The sequence below is a fragment of the Homo sapiens genome, chromosome 18, assembly GCF_000001405.40.
Source record: "Homo sapiens chromosome 18, GRCh38.p14 Primary Assembly".
In the NCBI taxonomy this organism is placed as follows: domain Eukaryota; kingdom Metazoa; phylum Chordata; class Mammalia; order Primates; family Hominidae; genus Homo; species Homo sapiens.
In genome coordinates, this window is record NC_000018.10 from 76,777,721 (window position 1) to 76,794,348 (window position 16,628).

Sequence of the window (16,628 nt, forward strand, 5' to 3'; positions counted from 1 at the left end):
GACGTCGAGAGTCTTTATATCTAGCTCAGGGATTGTAAACACACCAATCAGCACCCTGTGTTTAGCTCAAGGTTTGTGAGTGCACCAATCGACACTCTGTATCTAGCTGCTCTGGTGAGATCATGGTGAACCTTTATGTCTAGCTCAGGGTTTGTAAATACACCAATCAGCACCCTGCGTTAGCTCAGGGATTGTAAATACACCAATCGACACTCTGTATCTAGCTGCTCTGGTGGGGCCTTGGAGAACCTTTATGTCTAGCTCAGGGATTGTAAATACACCAATCGGCACTCTGTATCTAGCTCAAGGTTTGTAAACACACCAATCAGCACCCTGTGTTTAGCTCAAGGTTTGTGAATGCACCAATCGACACTCTGTATCTAGCTGCTCTGGTGGGGCCTTGGAGAACCTGTGTGTCAAAACTCTGTATCTAACTAATCTGATGGGGAGGTGGAGAACCTTTGTATCTAGCTCAGGGATTGTAAATGCACCAATCAGCGCCCTGTCAAAACAGGCCACTCGGCTCTACCAATCAGCAGGATGTGCGTGGGGCCAGATAAGAGAATAAAAGCAGGCTGCCTGAGCCAACAGTGGCAACCCGCTCGGGTCCCCTTCCACACTGTGGAAGCTTTGTTCTTTCACTCTTTGCAATAAATCTTGCTACTGTTCACTCTTCGGGTCCATGCTGCTTTTATGAGCTGTAACACTCACCGCGAAGATCTGCAGCTTCACTCCTGAGCTAGCGAGACCACGAGCCCACCAGGAGGAATGAACAACTCCAGACATGCTGCCTTAAGAGCTGTAACACTCACCTGAAGGTCTGCAGCTTCACTCCTGAGCCAGCGAAACCACGAACCCAACAGAAGGAAGAAACTCCGAACACATCTGAACATCAGAAGGGACAGACTCCAGACGCGCCACCTTAAGAGCTGTAACACTCACCGCGAGGGTCTGCGGCTTCATTCTTGAAGTCAGTGAGACCAAGAAGCCACCAACTCTGGACACACTATTGGAGTTTTCTGTCTAGTAAGCTGATGGGACTGGAATAGAGGAAGCTGGTGAAGGCATCCTGGGTCATTGTCATAAAACATCTGTCACCTCGTCCACCTGCATATGTTAGCTGACTTTTCTCCCGGCTGGAACACAGCTACTGGAGACTGGATTTGTGTCCCTCTATTTTGACACTCCCCGTGTGCCACTGAAATAGCTGCTTACCTGTCTGCTGCGACCATGAGGGCATCCTGGGTCCTTAGCACAGAATAAGCTCAACTACTCTATGAACCACAGCAGTCACGGCCACAGCCTCATTCACTTAGAGCCTGGGTAAACGATGCTGCCTGAGGATGGGCTGGCTTTCACAAGAGCCTCACCGACACAGCTGCCGTGGTCTCCATATTGGTGTCCCCCCAGAATTCCCATGGTGAACTAATCACCAATGCAATCGTATTAAGAGGCGGGGCATTTAGAGGTGATTAAGTGATGAGGACTGAGCCTTCATGAATGGGATTAACATCCTTATAAAAAAGGTTGAAGGGAGCACTCTGATTTCTTCAGCTCCTCCATCTCTCCTGCCTCTTGACGACACAGCAGTCATCTCTTTGTGCCTCTCCTGCCATGAGAGGACACAGCAGGAAGGCGTCATGTTGGATGTAGAGAGCCACCTTTACCAGGCCCCAAATCTGCCTTGAACTTCCAGGCTCCAGAACAGTGGCAGAATAAATTTCTGTTCTTTCTACATTACCCGGTCTCAGATATTTTGCTATAGCTGCACAAACAGATGAAGGCAATGGGGTCACAAGTTTTTTATTGTTGTTGTTACTGTTGAAATCATGTTAAGAATATGCAAAATTCAAGACACATAAAGAGAGGCATGTAGTGATGTTAGAACAAGACACGGAGAGCTTTCTTTTACTAGCACATGTGGTAGGCAGAATCATGGCTCCAGAGATGCTTATGTGCAGTCCCCAGACCTGTGGCTGGGTCGCCTTCCATGGTGAAAGGGACTCTGCAGATGTGACTAAGATACGGACCGTGAGGTAGAGAAATTATTCTGGATTTTCCAGGTGGGCTCGCTGGAATCACACGAGTCCTTCAAAGTGGAGACTCCTTCCCAGATGCGGTTGAGGGAGCTGTGCCCACAGAACTGTCAGGAGATGCAGCGTGGCTGGCTGTGCAGATGGAGGAAGGGGCTGCAGGCGGAAGCAGGTGGTGGCCTCTGGAAGCCTGAAAAGGAAAGGAACGGATTCTCTCTTAGAGGTTCCAGAAGGCAACACGACCAGGCAACACCTTGATTTTAACCCAGAGAAGCTCATTCCAGACTTCTGACCTTTGAAACTGTAGGGGAATAGATCTGTGCTGTTTGGAGCCACTACGCTTGTGAAAATTTGTGACTGCAGCAATGGAAAACACACATGGTAAAGCACACACCTGCTTCACGTAAAGAAGACGTTTGCTCTGCATTAGAAATATCTGTTATGAGCTGAATGTTTTTATCACCCCAAGATTCCTACGTTGAAGCCCTAACCCCCAGTAGGATGGCACTTAGAGATGAGGCCTTTGGGAAGTAATTAGGGTTAAATGAAGTACTAATCTAATGGAATTAGTGCCCTTATAAAAGGAGACACCAGACAGGTTGCTCCCTCTCTTTCCCCACCTCCGAACGCACACCACACAGAAGAGGCCAGGTGAGTGCACAGCCCAGATGGTGGCCACCTGCATGTCAAGCAAAGAGGCCTCTGAAAAACTTCCCTTCCTGGCACCTTGACCTTGGACCTCCAGCTTCCAGAACAGTCAGGGAATAACTGTCTCTTGTTTAAGCTGTTTGGTCTATGGTATTTTGTTATGACAGCCAAGCTGGCTGATCCACTACCTCTGTATAACTCATTGCTTATAGAGGGTTCATCTAGGAATAAGCTTTGAGCCTTGAAGAAAGTTTTGTAATTCAATTTTTTTTTCCTCTAGGATGAAGTTCATTTATTTTTTATTTTATTTTATTTATTTATTTATTTATTTTTTGAGACGGAGTCTTGCTCTGTTGCCAGGCTGGAGTGCAGTGGTGCAATCTCGGCTCACTGCAACCTCTGCCTCCCAAGTTCAAGCGATTCCCCTGCCTCAGCCTCCCGAGTAGCTGGGACTACAGGTGTGCACCACCATGCCAGGCTAATTTTTTGTATTTTAGTAGAGATGGGGTTTCACCATGTTGGCCAGGATGGTCCCCATCTCCTGACCTCGTGATCCGCCCGCCTCGGCCTCCCAAAGTGCTGGGATTACAGGCGTGAGCCACCACGCCTGGCTAATGAAGTTTATTTCTAAGACCCCAAGCTCTTGGTGCCATTAAGAAAATGTTTATTGGTGCTTTTTTTTTGACAGTTGATAACGCTGCGGTAAAAGACTCCAATACATCTGTAGCCACTCAGCAGCATGGCAAGGTTTCCAAAGCAGGGATGCCTCCCTCTTCTCCTAGCAGCAGATGCAAAGGCTGTTTAAATGGAAGCAGCTAGGCTCTTAAAGAAGTAGAACAGGTTTTCTAACCTAATAGAAAATTAGTCTCAGCAAATGTTTTGAAAACCTCAAATCATCACTAACCAACAGTTAGTGAATGAAAGCCTTCCAGAACAAAGGATAATGTTAGTTGTTCTCCCTTCTTCATGGAGTATCTCAAGTTCTTGCACAGAGTATTTTTCAATAATGAAATGTGAAAATTGAACATGACCTTGGAATTAGAAATTGCCAAGTCCAGCTGGGCGTGGTGGCTCACGCCTGTAATCCCAGCACTTTGGGAGGCCGAGGTGGGCAGATCATGAGGTCAGGAGTTCAATACCAGCCTGGCCAATATGGTGAAACCCCGTCTCTACTAAAAATGCAAAAATTAGCCGGGCCTGGTGGCATGCGCCTGTAGTCCCAGCTACTCGGGAGGCTGAGACAGAAGAACCACTTGAATCCAGGAGGCAGAGGTTGCAGTGAGCTGAGATCACGCCACTGCATTCCAGCCTGGGCGGCAGAGTGAGGCTCCGTCTCAAAAAAAGAAAAGAAAGAATTTGCCAAGTCTAGGCTGGGCATGGTGGCACTCGCCTGTAATCTCAGCACTTTGGGAGGCCGAGGTGGGTGGATCACCTGAGGTCAGGAGTTCAAGATCAGCCTGGCCAACAGGGCGAAACCCTATTTCTACTAAAAAATACAAAAATTAGCTGGGGGTGGTGGTGGGTACCTGTAGTCCCAGCTACTCGGGAGGCTGAGGCAGGAGAATTGCTTGAACCCGGGAGGGGGAAATTGCAGTGAACTGAGTTTGGCGCCACTGCACTCCAGCCTGGGCGACAGAGCGAGACTCCGTCAAAAAAAAAAAAAAAAAAGAAAGAAAGAAAGAAAAAGAAGGAAGGAAGGGAGGAAAGAAAGAAGTTGCCAAGTCCTCTTAAGACTTTAATTGCTGGTACCGAGAGAGGCATAGCTTCCCAGCCCGTCATTGTTCCTTGGGCCACGAGGAACAATCAACACAGTGGGGAGAGTTCAGATTCCTCTGCATGTGGAGAGCAGCTATTCGCATGTCACCTGTCAGTTGCATGGTCCTCCCCCTGCCTACTAACGGGTTAGTACGCAGGGAGGAAAGACCACACAACTGAAAATTGTATTCACTGTGATTTTCTGATTCTACAAATAAGACATTGTCACTGTACTTGGAAACTGGGAAAATCCCAAAAAATATGAAGAAGTACATTAAAAACACACATAACCCACTCTTCGCATTTAGTGTTGGTTTCCTCCAGCCTGCCAGTTTATATACCTACCTGCCATCATCAGCATGGAAGAAATGGGAAACTGTGACTTGGACAGCACTTAGAATTCAAAAGTGAGTTTGTTCATCTCCATGTTTGCTGATATCTTTTTGGAAGAACTGTTTGTCATTAATACTAAGAAAGTAAGCAAATAAATAAATATATGAGCAAATCCTTTTTCCTCCCCCACCTGGGAATGCTGTGTAGACTTGCTCAATAACAAGCAGCTGGAATAAAAGAATCCATACCTGGAATGTGGAGCAGCTGCCCTTACGACTTTTCATTAGGGCTTCTCTTCCCTCCCACTGCTTGCGTTTCTACGCCCACAGCACTGTGGTAAGTATGGCATTGCTCTCTGGATTAACAGTGATGCCGCCTCCCATTGCCCCTCAGGTTCAGCCTCCTGGAAAGACAGCTGCCCCGTATAGATGGGGATCCCTGGGACTCCCCGAAGTGAAGTCAGACACCTGACAGCCAAATATGCCCGCCAAATCTGAGGACAAGCCATCCAACTGGTCTTTCTCCAATGCAGTAATAAACACATATAACCTTCATCTCATTTGCAAAAACTTTTTTTCTGGTTTACACAAGGAATTGGAACTTCATTGCTTTTTGTTTGCTTTCCATGTGCTAGGCCAGCTAAGGCAAGGTGGAAATGCTAGGTAGAAACACGCTGGGTGAAGAAGGTTTGGCCAGCCGGGCGCAGTGGCTCATGCCTGTAATCCCAGAACTTTAGGAGGCCGAGGTGGGCGGATCACAAGGTCAGGAGATCCAGACCATCCTGGCTAACACGGTGGAACCCCGTCTCTACTAAAAATACCAAAAAAATTAGCTGGGCGTGGTGGCGGGCGCCTGTAGTCCCAGCTACTCGGGAGGCTGAGGCAGGAGAATGGTGTGAACCCGGGAGGCAGAGCTTGCAGTGAGCCGAGATCGCACCACTGCACTCCAGCTTGGGCGACAGAGTGAGACTCCACCTCAAAAAAAAAAAAAAAAAAAAAAAAACCACCAAAAGAAAAGAAAAAGAGAAAACAAGCATAGGAAGAAATCCCTTGTGCTGCATTGACTGAGGAAAACAAAGTGTCTCGTTATCCTTTCCAGATTTTATTTGGAATTACAAAGGCTACAGAAATATTTTGTGTTTCACCTAATTTTTTGACGTTCTCCTTTTGCCTCCAGGGAAATTTGTCAGTCCCGAAATGCAGCAGGTCCTTGGGAGAGGTGAAGACCAGAGGCTCTGAGGAAGGATGGAGGGAGGAGAGGAAGGCTCGAAGGCAGAGCAGGGGGCATTCAGAGGCCGAGGGGTGGCCAGGCGGGCTCTGGAGCTCTCTGCACAGCTGCATGGCACCACACAGCTCCAGGACTGGGAAGGTGTGCCCACTGGGCGTAACAACAGCTGACTCACTGAGAGCGTCTTGTGCTCAGTGCTTCTGTAAGGATTTCACGCCACTCACAATCCACCACGCGCTTCTGCGGGAGGGGCTGGGAGCTCCCAGATGCCGGTGCAGGACTCCAGGCGAGGGTGAGCCCCAACCCCAGAGCTGGCCAGGCCCCTCCTGGGGCAGGGTTCTTGCTCACCAAGGCCCAGGCTCTCGGGTGAACCTAGGACCGTTGACGTTAATGGTCCTAAAATGATGGCAATGGTCTCGTTTTAGACCTCGAGGTTTTCATTGAAGATTTCTCATTTTTTCTTATTCGTACTCACTTCATTGCTGAATGCGTTCAGCCCAACCTACGAACACACGTGTGTGCGTGTTCCTCACACGGTAACCAGTGTCGCAGTCATCTGAGACACGTGTGTGCGTGTTCCTCACATGGTAACCAGTGTCGCAGTCATCTGAGACACGTGTGTGTTCCTCACACAGTAACCAGTGTCGCAGTCATCTGAGACACGTGTGTTCCTCACATGGTAACCAGTGTCGCAGTCATCTAAGATGAGCTTCTGCTTTTCTACCTACACCTTCGCTGTTTGTTTTGGGTTATCAGCTGAGAGCCAGCGGAATCTTTCATATCCTTCCCCTTGTGGCGAAATGTCAGGCATATCCTGCGACTTTGCAGAGTTTTCTATGTAGCAATTTTCTGTGTCTCAAAGGTAAGCCTCAAATATCATGGAATCATCAAACTGACAGAACTAGAGAGAACATTGGCAATCACTTACTCTAAATAGAATAATAAATTGGGCCTCAGAAAAGTTAAGCAACTTAGCATGCAACAACTACATAATAACTAACCGTAAGAGCCCTGGGCTCCTGGCTCTAGACTTCCCTGAATTCTCATTCTTTGGTGTCATTCTGAAGAACAGCTCCTGAAGAATCCGCTGTGCAAGAGAAAGTTACATAGTCTTTGCTAGACATCACTCGAAATTAAAACTCACCTTTGGTATAGGCAGCATGTCTAAAACTTTGCTATTCCCAAGACCTACCCCTGGGAGAAGTAATGATATTAACATCTCAAGAATATTATAAAATAAATATAATTCAAGTCTGTATTTCTGGGGAACCCAGAAGCAAACAGTGTTGAACAAATGCTGACATGTGTTAAGCATCCTGAACCGAAGGTCGTCATTGTCCATAAGTTGTGAAACAGAAGTGTCAAATCAAAGGCTGCAGCCCCTGAGGAATGCATTTTCATGGATGTTATTATTGTTATTTTGCTTTTAATTATGTGGCACAGAAACGAACCTGTCATTGCTATTTCACTTTAAATGAGAGATTTAAATAATATTTCCCAAAATTGTTGTCAGCATACCACAGATAGCATGGGAAATTGTTTTAGGCAACATCTCAACAAGTATGTTTTATTTAAATATCTGTGAATTTATTAAATGTATATTAAAAATATATTGTAAAACACGTATCTGATAAAGGACCGATATCCAAAAATATACAAAGAACTCCTAAAACTCACCAATAAAAAAAATGAACAATCCAATTAAAAAATGGGCAAAGATCTGAACAGACATCTCACCAAAGAAGATCCACAGATGGCAAATAAACATATGAAATAATGCCCAATAGCATACATCATGAGGGGATTTCAAATGAAAACAAGATGCCACTCCACACGTATGAGAGTGGCTGAAACCCGGAACACTGGCCTCACCAAATGCTGGGAGGATGCGGAGCTCCGGGAACCCTCACTCATTATGGTGCACATGCAAAACGGGCAGCCACTGTGGAAGACAGTTTGGCGAAGCCAAACACAGTGTTACCTCGTGATCCAATTGCCCTCCTAGGTATTTACTGAAAGGAGCTGAAAACTACATCCACACAAAAACCCAGACACACACGTTTACAGCAGCTTTATTCATGATCACAAAAAAACTGGAAGTCCCCAAGATGTTCTTCGGTGAGTGAATGGTGAAACAAAAGGTGGTACATCCACTATAAGAGAAATGAGCTAAAGATAAATGAGCTATTGAGCCACACAAAGACGCGGAGGAAACTTCAATGCACAGTGCAGAGTGGAAGAAGCCAACCTGAAAAGGCTACACATGCTGCATGATTCCAGTGATAGGACATTCGAGAAAAAGTGGAGAGAAAGAGCAGGGGATGAGCAGGCAAGCCACAGGGACAGTAAGGGCAGTGGAGCTGTTCTCCATGGCACCACAGAGGCAGGCAAATGCCATGCATTCCTCAAAGCCATAGACCTGTACAACACAGAGGGAACCTTAAAGTATGGCATTTGTTTAACAATGATGTAGGAATATTGCTTCATTAATTATAACAAATAGGCCGGGTGCGGTGGCTCACACCTGTAATCCTAGAACTTTGGGAGGCCGAGGCGGGTGGATCACCTGAGGTCAAGAGTTCGAGACCCACCTGGCCAACATGGTGAAACCTCATCTCTACTAAAAATACAAAAAGTAGCCAGGCATGCTGGAGGGCACTTATACTCCCAACTGCTCAGGAGGCTGAAGCAGGAGAATCACTTGAACCCAGGAGGTGGAGGTTGCAGTGAGCCAAGATTGCACCATTGCACTCTAGCCTGGGCAACAGAGCAAAAACTCCATCTGGAAAAAAAAATTGCAACAAATAACTGTACCACACGAATGCAGGATAATATTAATAGGGGAAATGTTGTGGGGAGAGTGTAGATGAAAACTTTCTGTATTAGCTGCTCAAATATTCTGTAAATCTAAAACTGTAAAAACAAAATTGTCTATTAATTTTTTTTAGAAAACCAGGCTAGGTACGGTGGCTTATGCCTTGCAATCCCAGCACTTTAGGCAGCCGAGGCAATAGGATGCCTTGAGGCCAAGAGTTTGATACCAGACTGGGCAAGACAGCAAGACGCCAGACTTTTTTCTTTTCTGTTTGAGACTGGCATCGCACTCTGTCCTCCAGGCTGGATTGCAGTGGCATGATCTCGGCTCACTGCAACCTCCGCCTCCCTCGTTTAAACGATTCTTCTGCTTCAGCCTCCTGAGTAGCTGGGACTACAGGCACGCGCCCCCACACCCAGCTAATTTTTGTACTTTTAGTGGAGATGGGATTTGCCATGTTGGCCAGGCTGGTCTCCAACTCCTGAGCTCAAGTGATCCACTCACCTCAGCCTCCCAAAGTGCTGGGATTACAGGCGTGATCCACCGCACCTAAATTTTTTTTAAATTTAACTGGGCGTGGTGGGTCATGCCTGTAGTTCCAGGTACTTGGGAGGCTGAGGTGGTAGGATCGCTTGAAGGTGGGAGATTGAAGCTGCAGTGAGTAGAGATTGTGCCTCTGCACCCCAGCCTGGGCGACAGAGTAAGACCCCGCCTCAAAAAACAAAATTATAAAATAAAATTTTAGAAAACCTCATACGACTTGGTGGAGTTTATGACAGAAAAGAAAAAGAAGAAAACCCCTGCATCAGTGTTCACTCACTGCTTGGTGCGCATTCAGGCCGCGCCCACCCGGCATGGGGGTCACGTCTGCACCCTTAATCGCGCGCACCTGCGCTGTCCCAGGACAGGGAAGGCCCGTTACAACTGGGCGGCCTCCGCCACAGGCGCTGTCTCTCGTTTTTCCAATTCCCTTCACATCTTTTTCTTGTTCCCTTTCCTCATCACCCGTTCATCCCCGGGTCCCGCCCCTCCAGGATGGCGAAGGCGAGAGCCAACCCAGGATCTTGGAGGCCCGTGAGCAAGCGCGCAAGGGCAGCGCCGGCAATCAGCCTAGACCTGCGCTCTCCCGTTTCTTCCGCCTTGGGGAAAGTGCGCCCTCCCTGCAGCAGCCGCCTGTGTGTCCGGAATGGGTGGGTTCTTGGTTTCACTGACTTCGAGAATGAAGCCGCGGACCCTCGCGGTGAGTGTTACAGCTTTTAAAAGCTGCATTGTTCCTTATGATGTTCGGATGTGTTGGGAGCTTCTTCCTTCTAGCGGGTTCGTGGTCTCGCTGGCTCAGGAATGAAGCTGCAGACCTTGGCGGTGAGTGTTACAGCTCTTAAGGTGGTGCGTCTGGAGTTGTTCATTCTTCCTGGTGTGTTCGTGGTCTCGCCGGCTTCAGGAGTGAAGCTGCAGACCTTTGCAGTGAGTGTTACAGCTCATAAATGCAGTGCTGACTCAAAGAGTGAGCAGCAGCAAGATTTACTGTAAAGAGCAAAAGAACAAAGCTCCCACAACCGGCAAACGGACCCCAGCAAGTTGCCATTGCTGGCTCAGGCAGCCTGCTTTTATTCCCTTATCTGGCCCCACCCACATCCTGCTGATTGGTCTGTTTTTCAGAGAGCTGATTGGTCCGTTTTGACAGGGTGCTGATTGGTGCATTTACAATCCCTGAGCTAGACACAAAAGTTCTCCAACTCCCCACTAGATTAGCTAGATACAGAGTGTGGACCCAAAGGTTCTCCAAATCCCCACCAGAGTAGCCAGATACAGAGTGTGGATTGGTGCATTCACAAACCCTGAGCTAGACACAGGGTGCTGATTGGTGTGTTTATAAACCTTGAGCTAGATACAGAGTGCCGATTGGTGTATTTACAATCCCTTAGCTAGACATAAAGGTTCTCCAAGTCTGCACCCAGACTCAGGAGTCTAGCTGGCTTCACACAGTGGATCCCGCACCAGGGCCACAGGTGGAGCTGCCTGCCAGTCCCACACCATGCACCCATACTCCTCAGCCCTTGGGGGGTCATGGGACTGGGGGCCATGGACCAGGGGGTGGCACTCGTCGGGGAAGCTCTGGCCACGCAGGAGCCCATGGCGGGGAGGGGGAGGCTCAGGCATGGTGGGCTGCAGGTCCTGAGTCCTGCCCTGCCGGGAGGCAGCTAAGGCCGGGAGAGAAGATGAGCACAGCAGCTGCTGGCCCAGGTACTAAGCCCCTTACTGTCCAGGGACAGCGGGGCTGGCTGGCTGCTCTGAGTACGGGGCCCACCGAGCCCACGCCCACTCGGAACTCGCGCTGGCCCACAAGCGCTGTTCGCAGCCCCGGTTCCTGCCCGCACCTCTCCCTCCACACCTCCCCGCAAGCTGAGACAGCTGGCTGTGGCCTCGGCCAGCCCAGGAAGGGGCTCCCACAGTGCAGCAGCGGGCTGAAGGGCTCCTCAAGTGCCGCCAAAGTGGGAGCCCAGGCAGAGGAGGCACCGAGAGTGAGCGAGGGCTGCCAGGGCTGCCAGCACACCTGGGAACCCAGCCACCCACGTGCCCCTCCAGGCCCGGACCTGCCTCTCAGCGCCCAGAGCTGCCCCTGCAGTGCCCCGTGTTCCCTCCCCAGCCACGCTTGCGGTTGGCGCTCCCCACGGTCCCGACGGGGCTTTCTCATGGGATCCATCAATGCGCAGTTTAGACACCCCAGGCTCTCCCGCCCTACACGGAGATGAGAAAAAGGTTGATAGAATAAATTACATTAGGCCGGGTGAGGTGGCTCACGCCTGTAATCTTAGCACTTTGGGAGGCGGAGGCAAGTGGATCACTGGAGGTCGGGAGTTGAGACCAGCCTGGCCAGCACGGTGAAACCCCGTCTCTACTAAAAATACAAAAATTAGCCGGGCGTCGTGGCAGGTGCCTGTAGTCTCAGCTACTAGGGAGGCTGAGAGGCAGGAGAATTGCTTGAACCCGGGAGGTGGAGGTTGCAGTGAACCGAGATTGTGCCACTGCACTCCAGCCTGAGCAAGAGCCAGGCTCCATCAAAAAAAGAAATATTACATTACACTCAAAACTTGAATTTATTAAGTGACAAAATAAGCTAAATTAGGCCACAGAATGGCGAAGATCTTTATAACACATTTATCTGATAGAATACTAGTATCCAGAATATATCATTATAATAGCTGGATTAAAATATATACACCTTATTTTTAAAATAGAGAAAAATAAAAAGGCAGATCATGAGGAGGAAAGAAAAAGGAAGAGAAGTTTAACCTCCTTAGAAATTCCCAAAACTGAAAATCCCAGAGCTTAGTAAATATTGGGAAGTCTAATCACACCAAATGAAGATGAAGATGCACAGCAGGAATTTTCAGGCACTGCTGGTAAGAAAGTAAATTATTTCAATCATGTTGAAAATGACTTAAAACCCTAGAATGTCCACTCTTCCATTCCAGGACATTTATATAGACAGAGACATGCACAAGAATGTTTAAAGTGATTTTTTTTGAGACAGGGTCTTGCTCTGTTGCTCAGGCCGAAGTGCAGTGGCATGAACTAAAGTAATATTATTTATAATTTTTTTAATATTAGAAATTGCCTAAATTTCATCCACAGGAGAATAGATAAGAAGATTATTGTATAGTATACAATGGAATTCAACATAGCAGTGAAAATGAACAAAATTGAAAGTGAATTAGCCAGCCATGGTGGGGCACACCTGTGGTTAGCTACTCAGGACTCTGATGGGGGAGGATCCCTTGAACCCGGGAGATGGAGGCTGCAGTGAGTGGTGATTGCACCACTGCACTCCAGCCTGAGCAACAGAGTGAGACCCCATCTCTATTACAAATAAATTGAGGCTGGGTGCGATGGCTCATGACTGTAATCCTAGCACTTTCGGAGGGCAACGCGGGCAGATCACGTGAGGTCAGGAGAATTGCTTGAATCCAGGAGGCAGAGATTGCAGTGAGCTGAGATGATGCCACTGCACTCCAGCCTGGGCGACAGAGTGAGACTCTGTCTCAAAAAAGAAAAGAAAAAAGAAAAGAAAAGAAGGAAGGAGAAAGGAGAGAAAGAAAGGGAGAAAGAAAGAAAGAAAGAATGGAAAAAAAGGCAGGAGAAAAAAGAAAAAGAAAAAGAAATTGAAAGTAAAAAATGATGCATAAAGACATGTACAACATGCTATCACTTATATAAAGCAGGCAAAACAGTGCTGTATGTAGCTTAGAGATAAGAGGCAGCAAAGGATAAAGAAATGGCTGGTAATGGTAAACTCCTAGCTCACTCTCTCTGTGGGTCACTTCCCCGAGGGAGGAAGAAAACAGGGGAGAGTGATAAGCAGGCCTCCTTTCACAGCACAACTCTTGGGCATAGCAAGCAGGACTGGGCGGGGGCTCTGGAGTTAGGCATCACAGCAGCTGTGAGGACACAGGGCTCCAGCCTCATGTCATGGAGGTGCTGATGGGCACGCAGGTGTCCATAGCAAGACTTCTCCCATTTTGCACATCTTAAGTATCACATGTTCTATGTTTAAATCCTTAGTGCAGGAATTGACAAGCCATCATAATATTTTAGCTTAGGAGCGAAAAGGTCAGGCTTAAATGTGAGAGCTGGGACTCCAATGGCAGGAGAGCAGAAGGACTGTGAGAGGAGAGCCTGGAAGCAGAGGCTCGCGAGGTGACAAAAGCCAGGAGTCAAGAGGATTCGGGTGTCACACCAGGCTCTGGCAGCAGGACCAGACAGGAAGAGGTGGTGAGCCGAGCCTGGCGACCATGCCGATGACGTCGTGGTGAGGCAGAAATTTAAAAATAAATATGCATTTATTCACTCCGAGAAAAGTAACAGTCAAGGCAAGCGTTAAAAAGAAAAGACCACGTTTTCTTCTGCTTAGCAAGCTCACTTCAGAGACAGTTATAGGATAATGCTGTTTAAAAAACCAAGGCCAAAGGAATGGGCTCCAGACAACACCCCCACCCCGCCTTCCAGGGCAAAGTTGAAGGAAAAAAAAGGGAAAAAGACAAATTCCTTTACTGTTACTCCTTTCCCTGGCTTCTTAAGCATAACTGTGTTTTACAAATGTCTATAATTTAGCCAGTTCTTGTTTTTCTTTCAATGCAGTTACAAGTTACAAGCTATGCAAGGCCACAAGTTAAGTGATGTTATGCTATAGATTATGTGACCTATCATGTGATTAACTGCTTTTGTTTGCTTCTGTAAGTTTGCTTATAAAAACCCCACTCAGTCTTTGTTCAATGCTCAGCTTTTTGGATATGAATCCACTAAGCCAGTGAGTACCTGAAATAAACAATCCTCCTGTTCTCCATGTCAGTCTCTCTAGTCCTCAGTTTCCCACAACAATGGTCCGCATGAGCGATCAGACAGATCCGCCAGGGAATCAAGGAGTGCCACCCAGGGAAGCAAGATGGTTGCTAGAAGAGCGGCAGATTGGATGGAGCAGGGAGTTCGGGTGTGACAGGATGACTGTGGTGTGGTGGTAGGACTTCGACGTGTGGACCCCCAGGTATTTGGAAATGTAGGTCCGGGGCGCACCTGAGGGCTCAGGACTGGAAGTGCACTTGGGGAGCCACGGATGCGCTCCCAGAAGTGCGCCCAAGAGGAACAGTGTGGGGCCTGAGCAGGCGGGAAGCTTGAGGAGTGCCCACCCGCAGGGAATGGGAAGGACAGCGCAGCAGCTTGAGGAGAGGACGCTCAGAGAGTGAGCTTCAGAGGAACACCCAGGGTGTGAGGCGCGCAACCCAGGCGTGGCACAGCTGCATGGAAACCCGGGGCAAAGTGGCATGAGCAGCTGCCAGGAAGTCCAGAGGGCTCCGTGGTAGGCAGACGTTCTGTGACGGAGCCCACGGCAGGTGCAAGTGTGAGCTGAGACCTGAGTCTGCTAAGGAGAAGTGAGGACGCCCCTGATAAGGTTTTGAAGCTGAAGGCGCCACAGGAGTCTTGATGATGGGGCAAACAGTCCTGGGGGTGGGCGAGGAGAGCACACTCAGCATGCGTGCTGGTAGGAGGGCTGAGGTGGGGGGGGACAGGAAGAGAAGGTTGGGATGGTGGGGGGAGAGCTACACTCAGCATGCGTGCTGGTAGGAGGGCTGAGGTGGGAGGGGACAGGAAGAGAAGGTTGGGATGGTGGGGGGAGAGCTACACTCAGCATGCTTGCTGGTAGGAGGGCTGAGGTGGGAGGGGACAGGAAGAGAAGGTTGGGATGGTGGGGGGAGAGCTACACTCAGCATGCGTGCTGGTAGGAGGGCTGAGGTGGTGGGGGACAGAAAGAGAAGGTTGGGATGGTGGGGGGAGAGCTACACTCAGCATGCTTGCTGGTAGGAGGGCTGAGGTGGGAGGGGACAGGAAGAGAAGGTTGGGATGGTGGGGGGAGAGCTACACTCAGCATGCGTGCTAGTAGGAGGGCTGAGGTGGGGGGGACAGGGGAAGAAGTTTGGGATGGTGGTGGGGAGAGCGACACTCAGCATGCGTGCTGGCCGGTGGGGCTGAGATCAGCGGGGACAGGAGGAGAAGGCTGGGATGGTCGGGGAGGAACAGCACCTCTTTTCCTGTGTACCTTGGGCTCCAGATGAAGACTGGCTGGCAATAGGCTGGCTGAGTTGAGGATTGAAGCAGCTTGGAGAGGGCTATCTTCTCTTTCGAGGTGGCTGCCCTCTCTGTACCCTATCTCCCCGGAGAGGGACAGTTCTGTGCTATCAGTGATCTGCATAAAGAAAGATGGCTGTAAGTTTACTTGTGAATCATTAGTACATTTTTATTTTTATTATAGCCCAGTGCGCTCTCACAGCTGTGATCAAATGAGCAGACAGGAACACTCTGAACTCTAGAAATGGATGGGCTCCAGGGCCATTGACTTCTAACCATCATCCAACAGATTTTCTAAAAAAAAAAAAAAAAAAAGAATGCTTGATGTTTTATGGTTCAATCCTAGAAAAGTCATAGAATATTAAACTTTGTGACGACCTCAGAGAGCAGCTAATTCAACTTTCTCATTTTACAATTTGAGACCTAGAAAGGTCAGGTGATTTTTCCTGGGGTCACACGGCTTGACACCTGTAGTTTTCTGTGAAGTGAAAGCCTCTCAGCATCTTTCAGGAATCTACAGAAGAAAATATGTTGGAATTTTTAGGCTTCACAGAGCAACCATCACTCCCTAAAACTTTGGCTGTAGAACATTCTTGCCTCCTGCAATTTAAAGTAAGCATGGGGCCGGGCGCGGTGGCTCACGCCTGTCATCCCAGCACTTTGGGAGGCCGAGGCGGGCGGATCACGAGGTCAGGAGATCGAGACCATCCTGGCTAACACGGTGAAACCCCGTCTCTACTAAAAATACAAAAAATTAGCCGGGCACGGTGGCGGGTGCCAGTAGTCCCAGCTACTCGGGAGGCTGAGGCAGGAGAATGGCGTGAACCTGGGAGGCGGAGCTTGCAGTGAGCCGAGATCGCGCCACTGCACTCCAGCCTGGGCGACAGAGCGAGACTCCGTCTCAAAAATAAATAAATAAATAAAGTAAGCATGGGTGGCTGGTCCGGTGGCTTATGCATGTAATCCCCACGCTTGGGAGGCTGAGGTGGGAGGATGGCTTGAGCCCTAAAGTTAAAGGCTGCAGTGAGCTATGCTCACATCACTGCACTGCGGCCTGGGCAGCAGAGTGAGATCCTGTCTCTAAAGTAAATACATTAATGAAAGTAAAGTGATCAGGAGGAGTGGGTTTGTGGAAGGGAAATAGTCCATGCTGCTTCTTCCTGTCCCCCAGGGCAGGTGAAGTTAATTGGCTGGTA

General features: G+C 48.8%; 1 long non-coding RNA gene across 1 annotated transcript, besides 1 other annotated feature; it reads right to left on the bottom strand.

Annotated features, from left to right (window-relative positions):
• Window positions 1–1,787: 1,787 nt before the first annotated feature.
• LOC124904327 (uncharacterized) lies at window positions 1,788–15,603 on the bottom strand. Its single transcript, XR_007066419.1, has 2 exons — window positions 15,404–15,603; window positions 1,788–2,223 (listed from the first exon to the last, which is right to left on the bottom strand). It is a non-coding gene; the product is annotated as an uncharacterized LOC124904327 (long non-coding RNA).
• Window positions 14,088–14,263: a silencer, noted in NCBI's record as "fragment chr18:74503764-74503939 (GRCh37/hg19 assembly coordinates)". NCBI's record gives its function as "represses an EF-1alpha promoter that drives an FKBP-Casp9 reporter gene in an ReSE screen in phorbol 12-myristate 13-acetate-treated (for megakaryocytic differentiation) K562 erythroleukemia cells {active_cell/tissue: K562(+PMA)}" and the evidence as "EXISTENCE:reporter gene assay evidence [ECO:0000049][PMID:32094911]".
• Window positions 15,604–16,628: the final 1,025 nt, after the last annotated feature.